The 26,336-nt window shown below is 40.8% G+C and overlaps 1 long non-coding RNA gene across 15 annotated transcripts in view, besides 3 other annotated features; it reads left to right on the top strand.

Moving 5' to 3' along the window:
- The window catches only part of UBE2R2-AS1 (UBE2R2 antisense RNA 1), a 94,784-nt gene extending 78,687 nt beyond the window's left edge, over window positions 1–16,097 (top strand). For 8 of the 15 annotated variants that reach the window (NR_170201.1, NR_170205.1, NR_170209.1 and 5 more), the window contains 2 exons: window positions 1,766–1,894; window positions 6,851–7,210. This is a non-coding gene — a long non-coding RNA (UBE2R2 antisense RNA 1). Of the gene's footprint in view, window positions 1–1,765; window positions 1,895–6,062; window positions 7,211–15,793 lie in introns of those variants that run through there. The other 7 variants (NR_170203.1, NR_170206.1, NR_170211.1 and 4 more) reach the window with 3 other exon arrangements.
- Window positions 17,672–18,171: an enhancer, noted in NCBI's record as "H3K4me1 hESC enhancer chr9:33722009-33722508 (GRCh37/hg19 assembly coordinates)". NCBI's record gives its function as "activates a minimal SCP1, AML or CMV promoter by ChIP-STARR-seq in naive H9 embryonic stem cells {active_cell/tissue: H9 hESC(naive)}" and the evidence as "EXISTENCE:reporter gene assay evidence [ECO:0000049][PMID:30033119]".
- Window positions 18,172–18,673: an enhancer, noted in NCBI's record as "H3K4me1 hESC enhancer chr9:33721507-33722008 (GRCh37/hg19 assembly coordinates)". NCBI's record gives its function as "activates a minimal SCP1, AML or CMV promoter by ChIP-STARR-seq in naive H9 embryonic stem cells {active_cell/tissue: H9 hESC(naive)}" and the evidence as "EXISTENCE:reporter gene assay evidence [ECO:0000049][PMID:30033119]".
- Window positions 19,999–20,088: an enhancer, noted in NCBI's record as "active region_28300". NCBI's record gives its function as "activates an Ori minimal core promoter by ATAC-STARR-seq in GM12878 lymphoblastoid cells {active_cell/tissue: GM12878}" and the evidence as "EXISTENCE:reporter gene assay evidence [ECO:0000049][PMID:35858748]".

Below are 26,336 nucleotides of genomic sequence, written 5' to 3'. Positions count from 1 at the left end.
TTCTTGTACTTCTTGAACATATGGAGTGAATTTATAATTCTTGTTTTGATGTCCTTGCCTACAAATTCTAACATCTGAGTCATATATAGGTCTATGTTTATAGAATGATTTTTTTTTTTCTGGTACTGGGTCTTATGTTCCTGCTTATTTGCATACTAGGTAATATTTTATTGAATGCCAGACATTGTACACATTATGTTATTGGGTGCTGGATTTCTAAACATCCCTTTAGGTACTTTACTTTTACACTGAGGGCTAATTTGGCCCCACTGAGGCAATTTGCTTTTGAGAACTGTACCCAATGCCCCACCGTATTAGGAGATCTTCCCAAACCGGCTAGGGAAAACACTATTTCTGGTCCTGTGTGAACTCCTGAAATTGTTCTGCCTACTCTTCTCTGCTGTTCTTTCCCCAGCCTCAGTAGTCTCCTTACACAAGCACATAGCAGTACTCAGCCCAAGTCTTGAGGGACTGCTCTGAAGATCTCTGGAACCCTCACTCTCTGCAGTACTTTTTCTCTGATACTTTGCCTCACAGATTTTTCTCATTTTGCCCTGCTGGAACTCTGAACTTTGTCTCCTTAATCAGTGAGACTGTTGGACTCCTGTTTTGGTTTCTTTTTTCTGTGATCAGCCTGGAAATTCTCCAGGCAGTGAGCTGGGGGTACTTGCAGGCTCATCTCACTTGTCTTTCTCTCAGGGATCACAGTCTTGCACTGCCTGTTGTCCAATGTCTGAAAACTTTCACTTGATATATTTTGTCCAGCTTTTAGTTGTGCAAGGAGGGAAGGTACTTCTAGTCTCTATTATTCCATCATGATTAAAAATAGAATTCTGTTTTGGTAAACAGTTTTCGTCTTGTTTAGGTAGCTTCTGTCTATTCCTATGTTAGTTAAACTTTTTATTAGAATGCTGTTAAATATTAGAGAAACACCTTTATACATTAATTCATAAAATCATGTGGGCTTTCTTCTTTATAAATGTAATGATTTGTGTAGATAGGATTCCTATTGTTGGATAACTTTTGCATTTCTGGAAGGAATCCTCATTGGTCAAGTATTTTACATTATTAAAAACAGTAACAAAATGACTGACATGATGGTAAGTCCCTGGATGACTGGTATGTCACCTTAAGAGCTGCCTGTCTGGATTGGCAACATCCCAAGGGATTCATCACAAAGATTGGCCTGCTGGAACTTAAGCAGCAAAATGAATTTTTTTTCTAATAGAGCTGTTAAAAATTCTGATGGGCTCTTTGACAATTTAAAGGATTCTTTTTTACATTTGGAAGCATCTTTTCATTTTTTAGACTGATTGAAGTTGTCCCACAATGCCCTGATGCTCTTCTCGTTTCTTTTCATTTTTTTTTTTCTCTTTGTATTTCAATTTGGATGGCTTTTATTGCTGTCTTTAAGTTCACAAATCTTTTCTTCTTAGTGTCTAATCTGCTGTTAATCTCATCCAATGTGTTTTCATGTTAGACATTATAGTTTTAATTTCAGAAGTTCAATTTGGGTATTTAAAAAACATCTTCTATAGATCTACCAACACGTTCAGTCTTCTAAATTTTTGATACAATTATATATCAATTACATATATATATACACTATATATCATATAGGATACAATTATAATAACTATTTCCACTAATTCTATAGTCTGTGTCATTTCTGGGTTGTTTTTCATGTTTTTTTCCTTTATATTAAGGGTCATATTTTCCTGTTTTTTTTTTTTTTTTTTTTTTATGCCTGGTAATTTTTTGTTAGATGCAAGACATTGTGATTTTGACCTTGTTGGATGCTGCACCTAAAGGTGGATGGAAGAGGAAGAGTCTTGGGGGCTACCATCCTGGCTGGAGAAGCTGGCACGAGGCTCCCTCTTGTGGATGCAGCAAGGTAAGAAAGTAAAGTGGATGTTCTCTTTTGGAGCAAGCGGCCTCCAGCTCTGCCTGTAGACTGAAACATGCACTTGCATGCTGTGGCTTAGCTGAGGGCTTGTAGCTCAGGACAGAAGCGCTGATGGTGACAAGAGCAGGGGAGTGATACGGGAGAGGTACAGCCCCAGCCCCAGGACACAGCAGATCTCAATATTGGGAAGCAAGGAGTTCAGTATCAGTAAAGTGAGCCATAAGAGAGAAAGGAAAGCAGCTTTGTAGACAGAGGTGGAACCAATTGAAGGGAAGAGGGGAGCTCCTTGCAAAGAACATTGCAGGTAGCGTCTAGAGGCTGTGGGGATCATTCTCAGGCCATCCAAGAACTCTGAGAAGATTTGGGGGAAGCTGGAATTTCACTGTGGTTGCTAGGATGGGCTCAAGCCAGAGGCTATTTTTATTTAAATGCCATTATTTTTGTTTTTATTTTTTGATATTAACCCTGTCAGGTTAGTGAGCCTAGAGAATACCTGTTATAAATGAAATATAATTCTGAAATGTTAATGTGTGGAAGGAACAAGTAAGGCTTGAGAAATATAACCTGGGCATATAATGATGCTAGAGAACTTACAATCTTTGCCTGAAAGTTTTGGATGCACAAAAGTCTGTTATTTTATTTATTTACTTAGTTCTTACTGAGATTGAGACAGTCTTACTGTATAATGCCTAAAGATCTCATGTAAGAGTGATACTAGCTGTTTTTCCCTATTAGTTTCTTTTTCTTTTCTTTCTTTCTTTTTTTTTTTTTTTTTTTGACACAGTCTCACTCTGTCGGCCAGGCTGGAGTGCAGTGGCACGATCTCGGCTCATTGCAACTTCTGCCTCCCGGGTTCATGCCATTCTCCTGCCTCAGCCTCCTGAGTAGCTGGGACTACAGGTGTGTGCCACCACGCCTGGCTAATTTTTGTATTTTTAGTAGAGACAGGGTTTCATCATGTTGGCCAGGCTGGTCTCAAACTCCTGACCTCAGGTAATCCACCCGCCTTGGCCTCCCAAAGTGCTGGGATTACAGACGTGAGCCACCATGCCCAGCCTAGATTCTTTTTTTTAAAAAAATTATTTTATTTCCATAGGTTATTGGGGAGCAGGTGGTGTTTTGTTACATGAGTAAGATCTTTCTTTTTTTCTTTTTTGAGACGGAGTCTTGCTCTGTCGCCCAGGCTGGAGTGCAGTGGCGCGATCTCGGCTCACTGCCAGCTCCGCGTCCCGGGTTCATGCCATTCTCCTGCCTCAGCCTCCTGAGTAGCTGGGACTACAGGGGCCCACCACCACACCCAGCTAATTTTTTGTATTTCTAGTAGAGATGGGTTTCATCATGTTAGCCAGGATGGTCTCGATCTCCTGACCTCGTGATCCACCTGCCTCGGTCTCCCAAAGTGTTGGGATTACAGGCATGAGCCACTGCGCCCAGCCACATGAGTAAGATCTTTAGTGGTGATTTGTGAGATTTTGGTGCACACATCACCCGAGCAGTATACACTGCACCCAAATTGTAGTCTTTTATCCATCACTCCCTTCCCACCCTTTCTCCCTGAGTCCCCAAAGTCCACTGTGTCATTCTTATGTCTCTGTATCCTCATAGCTTAGCTCCCACATATGATTGAGAACATACAATGTTTGCTTTTCCATTCCTGAGTTATTTCACTTAGAATAATGGTCTCCGATCTCATCCAGGTTGCTGTGAATGCCATTAATTCATTCCTGTTTATGGCTGAGTAGTATTCCATCGTATATGTATACTGCAGTTTCTTTATCCACTCATTGATTGATGGGCATATGGGTTGGTTCCACATTTTTACAACTGAGAATTGTGCTGCTATAAACATATGTGTGCAAGTATCCTTTTCATGTAATGACTTCCTCTGGGTAGATACCCAGTAGTGGATACCCTAATATGTTTTCCAAACTTTTAGATTTCTCTTCTTCTTAGGAATGCCGATTATTCTTTGGTTTGGTCATTTAACATAATCCCAGACTTCTTGGAGGCTTTGTTCATATTTTCTTATTCTTTTTTCTTTGTTTTTGTTGGATTATTTTGAAAACCTTGTGTTTGAACTCTGAGGTTCTTTCTCCTGCTCATTCGCTTCTATTGCTGAGACTTCCCAGAGCATTTTGAATTTCTATAACTACATCCGTTGGTTCCTGAAGTTTTGATTACTTTTTACTATATGCTACCTATTTCATTGAAAATTTCTCCCCTTACTTTCTGTATTTTTTTTTTATTTCCTTAAATTGGGCTTTTCCTTTTTCTGGCACCTCTTTGATTAGCTTAATAACTGACCTTAAGAATTTTTTTTCAGGTAAATCAGGGATTTTTTTTTGGTTGGATTCATTGCTGGTGAGCTAGTGTGATTTTTTGGAGGGTATTAAAGAGCCTTGTTTTGTCATATTACCGGAGTTGGTTTCCTAGTTCCTTCTCATTTGGGTAGGCTCTGTCGGAGGGAAGGTCTAGGGCTCAAGGCTGTTGTTCAGATTCTTTTGTCCCACAGGGTGTTCCCTTGATGTAGTACTCTCCCCCTTTTCCTAGGGATGTGGCTTCCTGAGATCTGAGCTGTCGTGAGTATTATCTCTCTTCTGAATTTAGTCACCCAACAGGTCTACCAGGCTCTGGGCTGGCACTGGGAGTTGTCTGTACAGAGTCTTGTGATATGAACCATCTGTGGGTCTCTCAGCTGTGGATACCAATGCCTGCTCTGGTGGAGGTGGCAGGGGGGTGAAATGGACTCTGTGAGGGTCCTTAGTCTTGGTGGTTTAATGCACTGTTTTTGAGTTGGCTGGCTTCCTGCTGGGAGGTGGCACTTTCCAGAGAGCATCAGCTATGGTAGTATGGGAGGGATCAGGTGGTGGGTGGGGCCCTAGAACTCCCAAGAGTATACGCTGTTTGTCTTCAGCTAGCAGGGTGGGTAGGGAAGGACCATTAAGTGGGGGCAGCGCTAGGCATGTCTGAGTTCAGACTCTCCTTGAGTGGGTCTTGCTGTGGCTGCTGTGGGAGATGGAGGTGTGGCTGTGGCTGCTGTGGGAGATGGAGGTGTGGTTCCCAGGTCAATGGAGTTATGTTCCTAGGAGGATTATGCTGCCTCTGATGTGTCATGCAGGTTGTCAGGGAAGTGAGGGAAAGCTGGCAATCACAGGCCTCACCCAGCTCCCTCACAACCCAAAGGGCCAGTCTCACTCTCACCATTCCCTGCTCAACAGCACCAAGTCTGTGTCCAGGGCAGTGGGCAAGCAGGGCTGAGAGCTTGCCCCAGGCTACCAGCCGCCCAGCTGTGAGAGCTGTGAACCCTTCGTGCTTCCCTGCCTGTGGTCTGCACACAGGATTCACGCCCTCCCTGTAGTTCTGGCCAGGAGACTTCTTGTTCAGTTGGAATTGTTACAAAGTTCAGCTGGAGGCTTCCTTCTCCCTGTGGCCTTTTCCCAGTGCCTCTGGTAGCCCTCCCCAATGACCCCTGGGAGGCAAGGCAGAAATGGATTGCTAGGTCACCCAGAGAGCCCACAGGGATTTTCCCACTGCTTCCTCTACCCCTGCATTTCACTCGGCTCTCTAAATTGACTCAGCTCCAGGTAATGTCAGAATCTTCTCCAGTGATCTAGATCTTGCGGTTCCCCAGTGAGGTTGTGTGTTTGGGGGTGAACGATGCCCCTTTCCGACTTCCATAGTTTGGGCACTCATGGTGTTTGGGGTGTCTCCCAGGTCCTGCAGGAGCAATTCACTTCCCTCAGAGGGTCTGTGGGTTCTCTTGGCTTTCCTGATTTCTTCCTGCAGTCATTCTGGAGCAAAAGTTCATGATGCAATACTCCACATGCTGCTCTGTCCATCTGAGTGGGAGCTGCAATCTAGACCTGCCTCCTGTCTGCCATGATCCTCCCAGAGAGATAGTAGCTTTGACACTCATCTATGTGGATGAAAAAGCCACAGGACACTTTAATTTGTATTTTAGTATTCCTCATATATTTTCTGCATTCATTTACATGTCTGCCTCCCCAGCAACTTCTTATGGCACCATGCTTTGTAATTACCATGTGCTGAGTGGCTACTAAGTGACAGATATTTATTTATATGTTTTATGTGGCTTAACTTACATACTCTTCTGAGAAGCTGTTTAAATTTCATTCTCTCTTATTTTCGTTTCCAGGTCTAGGAAATGGAGGCACAGTGAGATAAAATAAGTTGCTCAAAGCCATATGGCAATTAAGACTTGAACTCTAAAAGGGTTTTATTTTTATTTTTATTTAATTAATTAATTTTTTTGAGACAGAGTCTTGCTCTGTTGCCCAGGCTGGTGTGCAGTGGCACAGTCACAACTCACTGCAGCCTCAACCACCTGAGCTCAAGGGATCCTCCCATCTCAGCCTCCCAAGTAGCTGGGACCACAGGAAGGTGCCACCATGCAAGGCTAATTTTTTATTTTTAGTAGAGATGGGGGTCTCACTATGTTGCCGAGGCTGGTCTTGAACTCCTGGGCTCAAGCAGTTCTTCCATCTCAGGCTCCCAAAGTGCTGGGGTTACAGGCTGTGCTCGGCCTGTTTTATTAATCTCTAAGTGCCCTGCATCTGCTCTAAGGAGTGTGGCATAGTCCTTGATACTGGATAACTGAGTAACGCAGGTAGTTTGTATGAGAAGTGCAGTAACCACATGGTGAATGGAAGATGATGCTGTACACTTGCCCGGAGTTCACAGCTGGGACACTGCGGTTACCAGGACGCAGCTTCCAGAATGGCTGACTAAAACTAGAAAATGCAGACTCCACTGGGTCTTTGTGTTTCTGTTTTTTAAACGGGAAAATTAATTCTGCCATTTACCTTCAAAGAGTTAGTGGGAGTGACATAAAATTGTTGATAAAAATCTTTGGAAGTCTCAGTGAGGGGATCTGCTATAATGAAATAATGAAATAATTGATGAAATTATTTTGTTCGTAAACAGTCTGAGGGCCAAGGGAAGAGAAGAGTGACATAGAATCTCCTTTCCTTGAGATCTTAGAATCACGCCTGCCTCCTTACCTCCATCCAGGACTGTTAAAAATCTCCCAAGGCAGAGACTTTTAGGCCTACATGTACTTAGCCTCCTCTTCCCACCTCCTGTTCATCTCTGTTTCCAATGTTCCACTGCCATCACTGCCAGGAAGTTCTGCAGAGAAGAATGAAGAAGAACCGTATGATCCTAAACATGTTCTTTGAAGATATTATCAACCCACCATTGGCCTTATTTACTGGAATGTTTTTATAACCTTTATTTGACACCTCTTCCCATCATTTAAAATAAATCTGGTGCTTCCCTGAATAATCTCTTGAGATTTGTACATGTCTCCCAGCATCATATTTGTCCTTTTAACAAGCACACTCCTTCCACTGCTCATGGCCAACTCAGGTTCACTACAATCAGGGAATCTATGTCTTGCAACAATCAGGTCTATATCAAACTTGAATTTATTTTCTTTTGTTTCTGAGAACTGTAATTCCACTCCAAGGCCTATACTGTACCCAACAGAGCTGCATATATGTTTAACGAAAACATGTCTTAGAATATTCACAATACTTCTACTACTTATGCCCTCAAACTGCAAACTACCCAAATACCGGAGAATAGAATGGATGAATGAATTGTAGTAATATTTATTGAATGCAATATAATAATGATAATGAATTAACTGGAACTATATCCAAGAAGGATGAATCTCACAGACATTATGTTGGCTGAAATGAGCCAATCACAGAAGTGTACATACTCTATAACTGCTACAGAAAGTTCAAAGAACAGGCAAAACCAATGCACAATGTTAGAAGCTGGGATTGCATTTATCCTGGGGTAGGGGATGGGGTATTGGCTGGAAGTAGGGGTGAGGAGGCCCTCTGCTGTTTTTGTTGTATTCTCTTTATCTGGGTGCTGGTTTTGAGGGTGTGTTCACTTTGTGAAAATCCACTGAGCTGTAAACTTATGTACATTTCTATATGTGTGTTTTTATAAAACTTACAGAAAACAAAGAAGAAATATATTGCCGTATATTGATTGGACTCTATTCTGGGCTATCTTGGAAACTGCAGCTTGAAGACAGCTAGGCCTCAGCATATGCCCTGACCTCCTGCAATCTAAGCTCTGGATCCTGGTCAACTTTGGGAGAATAATCAAGCCAATTTTCAGAGAAGCAGTTTCTATGTCTTTCAGGTCCTTGTGTCCTAAGGGATTAGGAGCATTAGGGACCTGGTCTCAGTGTGATCCTGAGAGCTCATCCATTCTCTGGTCATCCTTCAAGGAAATGCCAGGCTCCTGAATTCATCTGCACAAACAGAGCTGGCCAGGCTACCTGCTGCCCACCATCCCATTGTCTTTCCTGCATTGTTCTGGGACTCTGGCCACACTTACCTTCCAAAATAACTGTGCAGTTGTCATCATTGTTCAGGAGACTATTTTGGAACACTGGCTTAGCTTGGTGACGTGTAGAGATCCAGGAAGGGCCTCAGCTGTCGGGAGGGAGGCCCAGGGCCATCAGGGAGCTGGGGGTGGTAAGAAGTGACAGGGATTGGGCTTCAGGAGGTGTGGAGGGGCCCAGGGGGAGCACCATTTCTGACAAGTGTTCAGTCTTGGTGTGGAGAATTGCAAAGAAAGAGGAGAAAGGATTTGGGGGGATTGGGTGCAGGTTGGAGGGAAGCTGGGAGGGGAGAAAAGAGTGAAGGAACATTAGATTGATTAGTGCTGGAGGAAGAGGTAAGGAGAGACTTCGTTCACAGAGGAGGGGCTGGGAAGTGAGGGTATGAGTTAAAGGGCACTAATGGTATGCTGACATATTGTTTCAAGAGTGGTTTCTGTAGCCTGGAGGACTTAAGGACAGCTGTTGGGAATCTACGGGGTGATAGAAAAGTAAGTGGGAGAAAGGGGATGTGATGATTGATGGGCAGCTTAGTGTCGAGTCAGGTGACATCCTGCCATGTTTAGCAATGTAATAAGTGGTCAGATGACCTCACAATCTTCAGGGCTGGGAGATGGCAGAACCTTCTCACAGGGGTTGTGACAGAGGAGTTGGGTAGATGTGTTCTCAGCATAGATGTGTTCTCAGTGGGCAAAGGTGGAATTCCCTTCTCTTTTCTGTTTTCGCTTGACAACACAGGCCTGCAGAAACAGCATACCATGAGTTAAAACCCCTCAATTGCATGGGTTTTTGCACCCCCATGATTTGACAGGGTCTCTAGCTCTTTGAAAGTCTGCAACAAGACAGAAGAAAAGTCTGGGCTCCTGTGGGGGTGTTACATGTGCTTGTGTACAAATTAGCCCCCACAGGACTCTGCAGCTCCACGTTGCTCTGCTGGGCACTGGGGCCATGTGCTCTGTTGGTCTATGGGAACCTCTGTCTCCCTAGAGTTACAGTTTAAGAGAGGGGTTTCCAAAAAAGGTTGCTAATGTCCCAGGATTTTATGGACTTTAAGTAAAACTTCTTTTTTTCTGTTGTACTCAGAATGTTTTGAAGCTTTGTTCCTAGGTTACCTCACAGTGCCTGAATTCTTTCCTTTCTTTTCTTAGACATGGGGTCTTGCTCTCTCACCCACGCTGGAGCGTAGCAGCTATTCACAGGTGTGATCATAGCACACCACAGCCTCCTGGGCTCAAGCAATCCCCCTGCTTCAGCCTCCTGAGTAGCTGGGACCATAAGCAGGAGCCCATACCCAGCTTCAATTCTTCTTTTCCTACAATAAGTTCTGGTCCAGAAAATTTTGCAACTCACCCCCGCCCTTCACTCCACAAAAAGACTTCCACTGGGATTCCTGTCAAAATGCCAGACTCACTTGAATCCCTAGGATGGATCCAGCCTCGGTTTAAGTGCAGATTCCTGCTTCATCTCAGAGCCTGGCTGTTTTGAGGAGCAGGTGGTTTTACCCATCCACCCACTCGCCCCTTGCTTCATTGTCTAGGCCTGTCCTTTCTCACCTAGTGTCCTAATCCCCTCCTCACTACCTCACAATGGAGAAAGCTCTGTGTTGCTTTCTTTCAGGATTTTCCTGCTTTTCAAAAGAGCTAGGGCACTATGTGCTTTCATGCAGGACCTAAGCAAATAAGGACATCTCAAGGAGATGCCTAACTCTTAACCTGGTGCCCACCCCACCCTGGAGAGGACAGTTCTTGTTCATAGTGTACATGATTGTTTATGTCAAAGACCCAATGAGTTTGCAAAGACCTCTTAGGACTAATAAGTGAGTTTAACAAGTTTGCAGGATATAAGGTTAACACACACACACAAACAAATCAATTGTATTTTTATACATCAGCATATTAGGGTTCTCTAGGAAAACAGAACCAATAGGATACACACACACACACGTATATATGTGAGAGGTACACACACACGTGTGTGTGTGTGTTTAAAAAGAGCGAGGCAGAGAGAGATTGGTTAGTTTTAATGAATTTGCTTGTGTGATTGTAGGGGCTGGCAAATTTGAATTCTACAGAGCAGGCTGTCATGGTGGAGACCCAAGGAAGAGCTGATGTTGCAGCTCATGCCTGGAGGCCGTCTGCTGGTAGAACTCCCTCTTTTCCAAGGAACCTCAGTCTCTCTTCTCAAGGCCTACAACTGATTGGGTGAGGTCCACTTACATTATGGGGGGTCATCTGCTTTACTCAAAGTTGATTGATTTAAGTGTTAATCACATCTAAAACATTTCTTCACAGCATCATCTAGACTGGTGTTTGAGCCCAAACTGTCTACCATGGCATGGCCAAGTTGACACATAAAATTAACCTCAAGGCTGGGCGTGGTGGCTCACGCCTATAATCCCAGCACTTTGGGAGGCCGAGGCGGGTGGATCACAAGGTCAGGAGATTGAGACCATCCTGGCAAACATGGGGAAACCCCATCTCTACTAAAAATACAAAAAAATTAGCTGGGAGTAGTGGCGGGCGCCTGTAGTCCCAGCTACTCAGGAGGCTGAGGCAGGAGAATGGTGTGAACCCGGGAGGCGGAGCTTGCAGTGAGCTGAGATCGTGCCACTGCACTCCAGCCTGGGTAACAGAGTGAGACTCCGTCTCAAAAAAAAAAAAAAAAAATTAACCATCACAACCAGAAATGTGGAATTGGATAGGAAAATTGAAAACCAGTACCACATAGAATACCAAAAAATGAAATAGATAAACATCTTACTGAAAGCTACAAAATACCAGTGAAAATACTCAAAGAAGATATAAACAAATAACAAGAAACACCATATTTGAAGATTGGAAGACTTAACTTTAAAAAGTTGCCAATTCTGCCAAAACTGATATAGAGATTTAAAACAATTCCAGTCAAAATCTCACCAGGACATATTGTTGCTATAGACAAGCTGATTCTAATGTTTACATGGAAAGTCCAAGGACTTGAATAGCTAAAACAACTTTGAAAAATAAGAATAATGGTGTAGGAAACATGCTACCCAGTTTTAAAACATACTACAAAGTTACAGTAATCAGGACAGTATGGTATTGCCTGGGAACACAGAGCTCAATGGAACAGAATCGAGTCCAGAAAGATAACTGCTTAAATATGGCCATGTGATTTTTGACAAGGGTGCAAGGGTAATTCAGTAAAGGATCATATTTTCAACAAATGATGTTAGAACAACTGAACATTCACATAAACAAAACAGACAAACAAGAAAACTGAAACCTTACAGCTTGTATACAAATGAACTCAATATTGATGAGATGTAAAAGTGAAGCTCTAAAAAGTTCAGAAAAGAACATAGTAGAAAATCTCTTCCTGGGATTAGGAAAAGAGTTCTTAGACACGGTACTATAAGCACGATCCGAAAAAGTTGATAAATAGGTCTTTATTGAAATTAAAAGACTTAAGATGCTATTAAAAGAATGAAAACAGTATAGCCCAGGAGAAAAACTTTGCAAGTCACATATGTCACAAGACTTTGCAGAATATATAAATGGCAAATAAAACACAAAAAGATGTTCAATATCATTAAGCATTAGAGACTTGTAAACAAACCAAATACACCTATTAGAATTGCTGAAAAAAGGAAAACCTTTGGTAATACCAAGAACTGTTGAGAGCAATTACATTTTTTTTTTATTATTATTATACTTTAAGTTCTGGGGTACAAGTGCAGAACGTGCAGTTTTGTTACATAGGGATACATGTGCCATGGTGGTTTACTGCACCCATCAACCCATCACCTACATTAGGTATTTATCCTAATGTTATCCCTCCCCTAGCCCCCTACCCCCCGACAGGCTCTGGTGTGTGATGTACCCCTTCCTATGTCCATGTGTTCTCATTGTTCAACTCCCACTTATGAGTGAGAACATGCGGTGTTTGGTTTTCTGTCCTTGTGATAGTTTGCTGAGAATGATGGTTTCCAGCTTCATCCATGTCCCTGCAAAGGACATGAACTTATCCTTTTTTATGGCTGCATAGTATTCCATGGTGTATATGTGCCACATTTTCTTTATTCAGTCTATTATTGATGGACATTTGAGTTGGTTCCAACTCTTTGCTCTTGTGAATAGTGCCACAATAAACATACGTGTACATGTGTCTTTATAGTAGAATGATGTTTAATCCTTTGGGTATATACCCAGAAGTGGGATTGCTGGGTCAAATGGTAATTCTAGTTCTAGATTCTTGAGGAATCGCCACACTGCCTTCCACAATGGTTGAACTAATTTACAGTCCCACCAACAGTGTAAAAGTGTTCCTATTTCTCCACATCTTCTCCAGCATTTGTTGTTTCCTGACTTTTTAATGATTACCATTCTAACTGGCGTGAGATGGTATCTCATTGTGGTTTTGATTTGCATCTCTCTAATGACCAGTGATGATGAGCATTTTTTCATATGTCTGTTGGCTGCATATATGTCTTCTTTTGAGAAGTGTCTGTTCATATCCTTTGGCCACTTTTTGATGAGGTTTTTTTTTCTTGTAAATTTGTTTAAGTTCTTTGTAGATTCTGGATATTACTCCTTTGTCAGATGGATAGATTACAAAAATTTTCTCCCGTTCTATAGGTTGCCTGTTCACTCTGATGGTAGTTTCTCTTGCTGTGCAGAAGCTCTTTAGTTTAATTAGATCCCATTTGTCAATTTTGGCTTTTGTTGCCATTGCTTTTGGTGTTTTAGTTTTAATCATGAAGTCTTTGCCCATGCCTATGTCCTGAATGGTATTGCCCAGGTTTTCTTCTAGGATTTTTATGGTTGTAGGTCTTATGTTTAAGTCTTTGATCCATCTTGAGTTATTTTTTGTATAAGGAAGGGGTCCTGTTTCAGTTTTCTGCATATGGCTACCCAGTTTTCCCAACATCATTTATTAAATAAGGAATCTTTTCCCCATTGCTTGTTTGTGTCAGGTTTGTCAAAGATCAGATGGTTGCAGATGTGTGGTGTTATTTCTGAGGCCTTAGTTCTGTTCCATTGGTCTGTATATCTGTTTTGGTACCAGTACCATGCTGTTTTGGTTACTGTAGCCTTGCATTATAGTTTGAAGTCAAGTAGCATGATGCCTTCAGCTTTGTTCTTCTTGCCCAGGATTGTCTTGGCTATACAGGCTGTCTTTTGGTTCCATATGAAGTTTAAAGTAGTTTTTTCCAATTCTGTGAAGAAAGTCAGTGGTAGCTTGATGGAGATAGATTGAATCTATAAATTACTTTGGGCAGTATGGCCACTTTGACAATACTGATTCTTCCTACCCATGAGCATGGAATGTTTTTCCATTTGCTTGTGTCCTCTCTTATTTCCTTGAACAGTGGTTTGTAGTTCTCCTTGAAGAGGTCCTTCACATCCCTTGTAAGTTGTATTCCTAGGTATTTTATTTTATTTGTAGTAATTGTGAATGGGAGTTCACTCATGATTTGGCTCTCTGTTTGTCTGTTATTGGTGTATAGGAATGCTTGTGATTTTTGCACATTGATTTTGTATCCTGATACTTTGCTGAAGTTGCTTATCAGTTTAAGGAGATTTTGGGCTGAGATGAAGGGGTTTTCTAAATATAAAATCAAAATCATGTCATCTGCAAATACAGATGATTTTATTTCCTCTCTTCTTATTTGAATACCCTTTATTTCTTTCTCCTGCATGATTTCCCTGGCCAGAACTTCCAACACTATGTTGAATAGGAGTGGTGAGAGAGGGCATCCGTGTCTTGTGCTGGTTTTCAAGGGAATGCTTCCAGTTTTTGCCCATTCAGTATAATATTGGCTGTGGGTTTGTCATAAATAGCTCTTATTATTTTGAGATACGTTCCATCGATAACCTAGTTTATTGAGAGTTTTTAGCATGAAGGGTGTTGAATTTTGTCGAAGGCCTTTTCTGCATCTATTGAGATAATCATGTGGTTTTGTCATTGGTTCTGTTTATGTGATGGATTACCTTTATTGATTTGCATATGTTGAACCAGCCTTGCATCCCAGGGATGAAGCTGACTTGATCATGGTGATAAGGTTTTTGATGCTGCTGGTTTCAGTTTGCCAGTATTTTACTGAGGATTTTCTCATGGATGTTCATCAGGGATGTTGGCCTGAAATTTTCTTTTTTTGTTGTGTCTCTGCCAGGTTTTGGCATTGGGATGATGCTGGCCTCATACAATGAGTTAGGGAGGATTCTCTCTTTTTCTGTTGTTTGGAAGAGTTTCAGAAAGAATGGTACCAGCTCCTCTTTGTACCTCTGGTAGAATTTAGCTGTGAATCTGTGTGGTCCTGGCCTTTTTTTGGTTGGTAGACTATTAATTACTGCCTCAATTTCAGAACTTGTTATTGGTTTATTCAGGGATTTGACTTCTTCCTGGTTTAGACTTGGGAGGGTGTATGTGTCCAGGAATTTATCCATTTCTTCTAGATTTCTGAGTTTATTTGCATAGAAATGTTTATAGTATTCTCTGATGGTAGTTTGTGTTTCTGTGGGATCAGTGGTGATATCCCCTATATCATTTTTTATTGCATCTATTTGATTCTTCTCTCTATTGCAATTCTTTTTTTTTTTTTTTCTTTTTGAGACTGAGTCTTGCTCTGTCCCCCAGGCTGGAGTGCAGTGGTGTGATCTCGGCTCACTGCAAGCTCCACCTCCTAGGTTCATGCCATTCTCCTGCCTCAGCCTCCTGAGTAGTTGGGACTATAGACACCCGCCACTGTGCCTGGCTAATTTTTCGTGTTTTTAGTAGAGACGGGGTTTCATCATGTTAGCCAGGATGGTCTCAATCTCCTGATCTTGTGATCTGCCTGCCTCGGCTTCCCAAAGCTCTATTTCCATTCTTATACATTGTGAGTGGGAATAAAAAATGGTATAGCCAGTCTGGAAAAGTTTGGCAGTTTCTTACAAAGTTAACATGTATTTGTCTTATAACCCAGAAACCCCACTTCCTAGAGAAATGAAAACTTAATGCTCACATAAAAACCTGTGTATAAATGTTCTATTGATAATTCTATGATTATTTGATGTTTTATTCATAATTGCTCCAAGCAAATGTCCTTCAACAGGTGAATGAACAGGTAAATGCATAAAGAAGTTGTGGTATATCCATACAATGAAATACTACTCAGCAGTAGAAAGGAATGAACTATTTACACATGCAGCAACTGAGCACTTTCCAAGGCATGATGCTGGAGGGTGGGGGAAGGAAGTAGTCTCAGAAGTTTACGTACTGTATTTCTCATTTTTGAGAAGATAAAATACTGATGAAGGATAGACCTGTGGTTGTCAGGAGTTACGAGTGGGAGAGGCTGTGATTATAAAGGGAAAACATGAGGGAGTTTTTGGGGGTGTGATGGCACTATTTTGAATCCTGATTGTGGCAGTGCTTATGTGAATCTATACATATGTTAAAATTATAGAACTGTACACCAAAAAAATAAATTTTTGTGTGTGTATATATATATATATATATATATATTTTTTTTTTGATAGGGTCTCATTCTGTTATCCAAGCTGGAGTGCAGTGGCACGATCATGGCTCCCTGCAGCCTCGAGCTCCTGGGCTCAGGTGATTCTCCCACCTCTGCCTCCTGAATAACTGGGACTACAGTCATGTGCCACCACGCCTGGCTAATTTTTTGTATTTTGTAGAGATAGGGTTTCACCATGTTGCCTAAGCTGGTCTCAAACTTCCGGGCTCAAGTGATCCACCTGTCTCAGCCTCCAAAGTGTGTGAGCCACTGTGCCTGGCCTGTCTGATGATTTAAAGAATAAAATTAATAAAATTATAGAAGATGAACATTGGATTCTGATATGGGCCTCCAGTTCCTCCTTGCTAAGGTGAGGCTGATGATCTGTAATCTATGCAGCCATTATCAAAATGCTGACCCAGTATTGTGCCTCAATTCTGAGGCTTATGTATTTTGATCTGCTTTCTTGCTTTAGATCCATTATGACTGAGAAAGACTTCTTAAATTTTGCTTTTCCATCCCAGAAATGACTGATTCCAACCTTTCTCCCCAGCTGCTCAGCATGGGCCTCCAGCTGTGCTCTGCACACTCTGATAGCAGAGAGCTTTTATTCACCCCCATTTTTGAAATATAATTTCCATACAATATAATGCATAGATCTGAAATATATAATTCAATGAGCTTTGGCAAATGTATACAGTGGTGTGTTCATACATGTTTTACAACTGGCTCTCTGGTGGGATAAAAAAGCCCTGCTTTGTAGTGTTTGCCAATTTCTGGAGTATAAATATTTCCACCGTGGTGGATTCCAAGCTATCAATGTGATGTTGACTGGCTTGCAGACATCCTGAAAAATTAACAGTCCACTCTCTTGATGGTGCCAGCGGGCTTCAGCACACCACTGCCTGTACATAACTGTGCAATCAGCACCCAGATCAACATTCAGGACATGTCCATCACCCCACAAGTTCCCTAGTGCCCCTCTGCAGTCAATCCCCACGCCTATCCTGTGCGGACAACGATTCTGATTTCTACCACCATCAATTAGATTTTCATATTCTAGAACTTCATGCAAATACAGTATATTTTTTGGCCTGACTATTTTTGCCTCAGATTTGAGAGTCCCTCCTATGATGTTTATCTGGTTGTTTGTCTTTTTCATTGCCCAGTAATATTTCATTGTATGGATGTAGTATCGTTGATTCTCCTGTTAATTGGCATTTGGGTTGTTCAAAGTTTTGGGCTTTTCTGAATAATCTTGAAAGTACTTGAGAGGCTGTAAAAAAGAGGTTCTGATATTCCTGGCAAAACTTTCTGCTGGGAAGAGGAATAGATCCTGAAGCTTCAGATTTTACTGGCGATAATGAAAGAGCATCTTTGAAAGTGTGTAGCATGCGGCAGACATTCAATAAATGTTAGTGGAGTCTCACTTTGGCAGAATTCTGTTTCTAGGATCTGTGCCCAGAAATAGATCGTCTTTTACAGAAAGGTCAGAATCAACCATTCTAGAGAAAATTTAAAAATACCTCAGAGAGATTCTGTCTTCTCATTTGATAAATCCATTTCAGGAATATTTCACAATTCTAACAATTAGAAAAAAATGGCTATGTGATATTTTTATGTTATACTTTAAAGTCTACCTATTATATATATTATCTTACTTCATACACATTTAATTTTCATTTTATGCACATTGTTTTATTTAACTTTTGCTACAATGCTGCAAGGTAAATGTACTTCTACTTTACAGATAAGGACAAATGAGGCTTGGAAATGCTAAGTAACTTTCCTAGCTCACAAAGCTAGTAAGAATTTGATCGCAGTTGCCTGACTCCAAAATGCATGCGTTTTCCTCTGCAATGTGCGGCCCCACCATGTTCACACCTCACTACAGACAGGAAGCACATATTATTCAGATAATCGCTACCCATTTTCCATTCATCCTCGTTTTTCCAGTGAGCAAAACATCTTGTACAGTCACTTTCTTTTTTCATTTCAGAAGTACACTTTGAATAGGCTCAATATGGCCTGATTTAAGCAAGCAGAAGGAAAAATCCTTACAAAGTCTGTGTGGGCCAATCAGCAATGAGATGGAGCATTCGGCAGATGGCGCTGTTTCCACACGAGTGTAACGGCGGCCACAAGCGTTCTGCCGCCAGGGGGCGCCGCGTTCCGCCGGAGAAGCGTGGCTACCAGATTCGCGGCCCAGCACGGGCTGCAGGGCCCACGCCTCCTTGGCGGTGCGTTCTTTCCCTCCAGGTGGGACGCTGCAGGCCCAGCAGCTCCCTGTGCCTCCAGATAGCCAGGGCTCTCACGTGGATAGGCTGCTGGACCAAGCTCAGTCCAGCAGGCCGGCTTCAACAGCTTCTGCTCAGCTATCCCGGACAGCACAGGACTGTGCAGAGCCTCCCCTAAACCTCATTCTTTTCAAGGGCAAAGGGAAGCACAGCAGCGTTTGCCTTTTCTTGCCAAGTTAGCACGGAGGAAGTTTCATCAGGGAGAGGCAGGGGCCTCAGAACAGGGAGGCCGCAGGGCGGCCTCGGCAGGTGAGTGCTGGCAGCCCGTGGCCTGAGACGTTAAGCACTGTGGGGAGAAATGGAGAAAGAAGCTCCTTGAACATTAGGCCCACTCCGGTGTGTGAAGCAACTGGCCCTTGAGATGAGAGCAGCCTGGTCTTCCCTTCTTGGTGAGGCTTGGGCCTTTTACATATTCCCACACAATGGAAATACGCAACCACTTCCAACTGGGTCCCAAATTCTCAAATGTCTCGACTACAGGACTCTAGGGACACAGCCTCCTCCTTAAGGATTTGTGAGATGTCTGTAAAGAAAAGGAAAATTTGTGAACCTTCTCAGAAGAAGCCACAAAAGAATACTTAGAGGCAAAAAATTACTCAGGCTGACATTTGAGAGGCTCTGGTTCACTGGTTCAGGCCCCCTTCCCAGGCTGACAAGGGTTGAGAGGCTCTGGAAGGACAGAGTCCACGGGAGCTGTGCTCTTCTGCGAATTCCGTCCAGCCATATTCCTCCACACCTGCAAAGTGGTGGAGAATGTTCTCTGCTTCACTCCACCCCAACTTGGGCATTGGAACAATGACTTCCTCATTGGGTTTTGGTAGTTTTTCCATTATGTTTTAATTTTGCCCTTTATATGAAGTGCTATATTTTGTTTTAGAATAGGCATTACATTGGCTCAAAAATCAATTCACACAGAAAGGTATACAGTGAAGTCTTACTTCCACCCCAGTTACAATCTCCTCCACATATGTGCACAGCTAATTCATTTTACTAGTATCTAGGGTACCCTTTACCAGAGTTTCTTTAAGATACTGCAAGATAGCTTAATCGCATTGCAATCTTGCATACCAAATTATATGCAAATTATGCATATAATTATGCAGACCAAAGTCTGACAGGTGCAGACCCTTGCGTATTCTCACTGAGTGTCTCCTGGGCTGCTCCTGCTGACAACCCCCTCTCCTCTCTCTATGTGATCTAGATCCATTTGAGAATCCTATGAAAGCTTTGGACCTTTCCTGAGGAAAATGCACCTAGGCACACACCTATACACATTGGCATTCAATTTTGGTGGGGGTTATGGGCTCTGTGAAGCCCATCTGTACCCTTGGTGATCACACCCCCCTTCTAAACTGTTATCTATTTAGAGCTCTGGGCAGGCACTTGGCTGAAAGCATTATGCTTCCTTTCAGAGGGAAGTTTCAGCAGGGCAAAGCCTGTATTACTGATCTCTGCTGTTTACAGAGATCTCAGTCTCTCCTCGGACCGAGGGGCATTGGTGCAGTGGAGCTGGGACCTGAGCTGGATCCTAGCTCTTAGGTAGAGTCCTGAGACTTTCATATGTCCTTTCCACAAAGTGAGTCTCACGAACAGACCTTATCCCGGAGGGTCACGGCTTTTTTCACAGAGATGGACATTGAGAGATAAGCACCCCAGGAACTACACAATTACAGTTGGGAGGAATATGGTGAAGAAAAACACCGGGGCCAGGACATCTTGTGTCACAAGGAGGCCTCCCAAGAGAGTGACATCGATGTGACGGTGTGTCCTTCAAGCCTGGGTCCAACTCCCATGTGGGGAGTGGCTGCCTTGGTCCCCAAGCCCATCATCCTGCAGGCAGTCCCTCTGACCACAAGGGGGCCTGCTGGAGCCTGGCCTGGCCCAGCCCTTCCCGCCCAAAAACACCTCCCAGTCTGGTCCCTGCTGTTGGTGACTCAAGGAGCCAACACCTGTCTCCAGAGGTCAAGGCCACCTTGAGGATATAGGGTGCCCCGACACTCCACACACGGGGCATGGAGGGAGTCTCCCGGCCGGGCCAGCCCCGGCTTCCTCTCAGTGGAATCTCTGCTACATGGGAGCCCTAGCGGGCTGGCTGGACCGACCCAGCCCCTGCCCCTGGCTTCCGCTTCTGCCCCACTTTGCTTCTTTCCCCCACGGTTGCCAGAGAGCCGCTGCCAGTTTTCCCAGCACATTGCTCACAGGAAATTAGAGTCCGAAGGTGCAAGATGAGAGAGAAAAGTCATACCTGGAATAACTGAAACCACTGGGGGCTGCATTTCCAGCTCCACTCGCCCTGTGCAAAAGCACTGAGACCCCACCTTCCTCGCAGGCTCCTGCGACACCCTCACCAGTGCTGAGGGTGCAGTTCCACCATGGACCATGAGGGGCTGCTTGCCCGGAGCTCCTGGAGGGGGCTCCCAGGGCCTGGCTCAGCTGGGAGAGGACAGAACACAGCAGGTAGCATCCGAAGCTTTACCTGTTGGCAGAGTGTGTGGTGTGTGCTTTGAGTAACATGGAGCAGGTTCAACAGAACCAAGTCTCTTCCTCTCCAAGATTCAATCACACCTAACGCTCTACTGCTGGAAACTCATCAGCCAGGCTGTGTCCTCTCTGCAAGGCACTCTTTACAGACCACTATAGAGGCTGCCTTTCTTTGCTGCTTTGCAATGTAGGAAGTGCTTCTGGTACACACCTGATGGTCTCCCCGTGACACTTCTGGAAGGTAGGCACTCGCGAGATAATTTTCTTTTGGCTGATGAGGGACTCTAGGACTGGCACCCAATTCCAGGTTGCCCACTTCTCGGTTTGATGTCCACTCCATTACGTGGTGGCCAGTACCACTCAGGCGCCTAGATGTGAATGAATCTGCCTGATGACTGGACTCCATGGCAGCAAAGCAGGGCAGCCCAGCAGTGTTAGGGAAGTGGTGAGTAATCCCTCAGGGGAAGGGAGAGCCAAGGCTCTGAAGATAGGAAGCCCACAGAGGAAGGAACCCCAGGCACGAGGGCAGACTTCCCTGTGTGCCAGGCAGAGTCTGCATTCTTGGGTGTGTGTGTGAGTTTTCACTCCTGTTAGTTCTTGGAGTTGACAACCAGCAATCACGTTTTGAATGGTCTCCTGGCCATGGATGGTGAACTGTGGGGTGTGTGTTCAGCGCTCTGTGCTGTTGCTGTTGTGGGAGCAACACCCAGAGCTCCATCGAGCCAGTATGTCCAGCTCTGTCTCTCTCAGCTAGCCTCCAAAATCTCTTCATGAGGGCATGACTCCCACTCGTGAGGGCTCCGCTCTTGCTCCCTAATCACCTCCCAAACATCCTACATCCTAACACCATCACATTAGCAGTTATGGTTTTAACAGATGAATTTGCAGGAGGGAAAAGACACACAAAAATTCCACTCATAGCACCCAAAGTGAGATTTAAGGTGATGCAAGAACACAGCATTAAATTTCATTGAATCGCACTAATACACTCTATTTAGTAGTAAGATGAATTAGTCAAAGACAGTCTGTTTGGTGAGAATAAGCACATAACATCTAACACCTACCAAACTCTCTTTTTATGAAAGAGAAAGCAAGCTTCAGCTTTGGCCCTCTTAAAGCTGGCAATGATATCTGGTTATATTAATAACGTTGTTTTTGTTTCATCGAATTTATTTTTATGCTTGGCTACCTTCTATTTACCGTAAGTGATGCCAATTTTTCTTTTCGGCTTATGATTGCAAGATTCCTTCATAAACATATGAATCTAAATTAAAAAGTGAGTTTAAAGAAACGTATTAACTAAATAACAGAAGGAATAATATACAGATATGGAAAAGTCTGAAGGTATGGAATTCTGTACTACCCCCAGAAGCTTATGAAAGCTTCTTTTTTCTAAGGAAAATTCCCTCTATGAGAAGAATTCTGATGCCAACACCAATCAATTTCTGAAATCTACTTCGATTCATCTCTTGGGTCAGTTTGTTTTATTTTCGTTTACAAGAAGGGCTCACGGGTTTTATGTTCTCTAGTGTTTATATGTTTGACTACTGCATCTGATTTAACAAGAACTTGTATGGTAGGAAATTGTTGTGTTCCACTTTCTTTTCCTCCGAACTTTGTGGACACTGTTTTACTATTTTCTTGCATCAAATGCTGCCTGATTCTCAGGGTCCTCTCCCAGCCCTACCCCACCATTGTAAGTGGATTGCTTTTTGTTCTTGAATACATGAGACTATTTTCTTTTACTTTGAAGTGTAGTAAATTCATCAAGTATGTCTCAGAGTTGAGCCAGCACTGTCACTTCTTTCCAGAATCCAGGGAGCCCTTTCAATTTCCTAGCCAGCTCTTTCTTTTCTTTTATATTGGTAGATATTTTTTGTATTTCATGCACTGTAGTCTTTCTTTTGGGGAAACAAGGACCCATGGGTAGATCATTATCTATCCCTCATAGCTTAATCTTCATCCTAACCATTTCGACTTTATTGTCTTTTCCCTACACACCTTCTATGATTATCTCAAGCTTTTTTGAAAGTGATGAATTTAATATTTGACTATGTTAATTTTGTTTCTTGCTCTTTCAAATTTACTTAACTCTGTAATTGCTGTTTTGATCTGCAATTTTTCCTTAGCTTTGTAACTACCATTTTTCCATCTTATTTTATTGTCTCATCTAAGTATTTATTTATTTTTGTTTCAATGAATATGTTTTCTTTGTTTTTTTCTAGATACAAAATACTTGTCTTAGATTTTTTTCTCTGTTTCTTAGGCTTATATTAGATTTCAGGATGGATTTTTCACTTTCCCATTTATACTATATTTCCTCTTCTTTTTTGTGTTAAGCTCTCTGCATAGTTGCCATGAATTTTCTTTTATTCCTGCAGAATTTTTAATAAAAGGAGCTCTATCAGCGCATCCCATTTGCCTGTATATTCTGTAAATCAATGTTACTTGGTTCTCATCTCAATGTGTCTGAGTGCTGTTGTCTTCCCTTCAGTAGTGTTTGCTTCTATTCTTACAATCTTTCTTACCCTTAGCAAGTTACTTATGCTTTCCGTGCCTCAGTTTTGTCAACCTACATCCTATATACAGGTTCAGCACTAAATGAGCCATAATGTGTAAAATGCTTATAACAGTGTCTGGCATACACGAAGGCTATTATCCTCAGGAAGGGAGGCTCTCTTCTCTCCAGCTTCTTTTTACCCCCAACTTTTATTTTAGGTTCAGGGGGGTACCTGTTCAGGTTTATTATATGAGTAAATTATTTGTCATGGGGGTTTGGTGTATGGATTATTTCATTGCCCATGTAATAAACATAGTACCCGACAGTTAGCTTTTCAATTCTCACCCTCCTCCCAATCTCCACCCTCACTAAAAATACAAAAATTAGCCTGCCATGGTGGCATGCACCTGTAGTCCCAGCTACTTGGGAGGCTGAGGCAGAAGAATCACTTGAACCCAGGAGGCACAGGTTGCAGTGAACTGAGATCGCACCACTGCACTCTAGCCTGGGCGACAGAGTGAGACTCTGTCTCAAAAAAAAAAAAAAAAAAAAAGATGCGACCGTGTTCTGAATACAGATGTTTATTCTAAATATAAGGCAATTCTCTAAAACAATGACAATGAGTGAAATCAATAATAAGCACTCATTTTCATGCATGAAAATCACTTACCAATTTTTTTGTAAACTTTTTGATGAAAACATATTTTTAAAGTTTCTTTTGTAAACTTTTTGATAAAAGAAAACCCTTCGACCCAGTAATTCTACATCTAGTAATTTATCCTAGGAAAAAATCAGGACACACCAAAAGTTGTATGGATAACTATGCTCATTACATTGTTATTTATAACATGAAAAATTGTAATCAACCTAAATGTTTGATAAATTAAGGAATAGCAATACAATAAAACTCAAAACAGACATTAGGCTATAGTAGAATATTTACTGACATAGATAAATGTTCATTTTATATATTTAAGAGAAAATGTGAATTTAATCCTGTTTCTCTGGAGGGGGAATAAGCAAAAAAAAATATGTGTTTGCATATTTTACATATATAAATATATAAAAGGTCTTTGATATATGTAAAAGATGCAAACAAAATGGTACATATACCAAAATGTTTGTGGTTACTTCTGAATGGTAGGATTATGAATATTTTTCTTGGTGGTTTTCTGTATTTTCCAACTTTCATCCAATTATATGTATGTATATGTATCTGTACAGGCCTATATTCCTTATCTATAATTCAGAAATCCAAAAAACTTTCACAATGGACATTTTCCATGAAGTTAATAAAAAGTCGTTTAGCAACAAAAACTTGGTCTGAACCGGCATGAGCCTTTGTACAGTGTATAATTATGAGTCTTTCTATAGTCTGCATTTATCCCATGCCTTGTGGACACACTTCTATTTCACTGCAGATGCGCTCTGCCCCAGAATTCCTGGAGGTTATATAATATTCAGTCTGTGCTATTCTAATATGAAAAATCTTCTGGATTCTAAAGCATCTACCTTCTATGGTTTCAAATAAGGAATTGTGGATAATATTTTAGGTTGTTTTGTTTTGGTTTGTATTGTTTGAGACACGGTCTCACTCTGTCATGTAGGCTGGAGGACAGTGGGGTGATCAGAGCTCACTGCAGCATCAACCTCCCAGACTCAAGCAATCCTTCTGCCTTAGCCCCTGAGTAGCTGGGACCACAGGTGCCCGCCACCATGCCCAGCTAATTTTATTTATTTATTTATTCATTTATTATTTATTATTTAGAGATAGGGGTCTCACTATGTTGCCCAGGCTGGTCTCAAACTCCTGTCCTCAAGCAATCTTGAGGTGTGCTTTGCAATGTCTCACATTGCATAGCACTGTCAGACAGTGACAGTGCTATGGTTCCATTATGCAATTGCAATTATGCAATTAAACATAATTTGGTCCGCAAATTATGCATATGCAATTGCATAATGCAGTTGCATTATGGTCCTGACAAGATTGCTTAATTGCATAATTAACTGCATAATGGAACAGAGAGGTGATGCATAGAGATGCATAGAGAGGTGTGTTTTGCTGTTGTTGAGGTGTGTTTTGCTGTTGTTGGAAGCTGTATTCTGTAAATGCGATTTAGATCAAATTAGTTGATAACATTGCTCAAATTGAATGTACTCTTACGACTTTCTATCAATTATTATATCAATTATTTGTTATATCAATTATTGAAAGAGGAGTATTGAAATATTCAAGTATAATGGTAGATTTGTTTATTTCTCTTGCAATTCAATCACTTATTTTCTTCATGTATGTTGAGACTCTGTTATTAGGGGAATAAACATTTTGGATTTTGTGTTTATGAATTAACCCCTTTAACACTGTGAAGTGACCCTTATTATCCCTGGTTATATATATATATATATATATATATATATATATATATATATATATAAAATACATATAAAATATATATATTTATTATTAAAATAATAAATATATAATATATAAAATATATAACATATATTATATATAATATATAAAATGAATATAAAATATATAATACATATTATATATAATATACATATAATAGATATGTATTGTATATATAAATACATATAAAATATAAAATATATAAGATACAATATATTATATACAATATATTATATATTATATACAATATGTTATATATTTGATATTATATATTATATACAATATGTTATATATTTGTGATATTGTATATAATATATAATATATATTTTATATGTATTATATGTATAATTTTATATAATATATATTTTATATGTATTATATGTATTATATATAATGTATATATTTTATATGTATTATATGTATTATATATAATATACACATTATATATAAAAATATATTAAATATATAATATATATAAAATATATATAATATAATATATAATATATATAAAATATATGTTATATATGTAAAATATACATTATTTTACATATTTTATATAATGTAATATATTTTATATAATATTATATAATATATATTATATAATATATAATATATATTATATAATATATATTATAATATATAATATATATTATAATATATATTATATAACATAATATATATTATATAAATATATTATATAAATATATTATATATTATATAAATATATAATATAAATATATAATATATATATTATATAAATATATAATATAAATACATAATATATTATATAAATATATTATATATTATATATATTATATAAAATATAATATAATATATTATATAAATATGTATTATATAATATATATTTTTTGCT

The sequence above is a fragment of the Homo sapiens genome, chromosome 9 (assembly GCF_000001405.40).
Source record: "Homo sapiens chromosome 9, GRCh38.p14 Primary Assembly".
NCBI classification, from domain to species: Eukaryota; Metazoa; Chordata; class Mammalia; order Primates; family Hominidae; genus Homo; species Homo sapiens.
The sequence above is the reverse complement of the archived record's forward strand: the minus strand, read 5'-3'. Positions and strand labels throughout refer to the sequence as shown.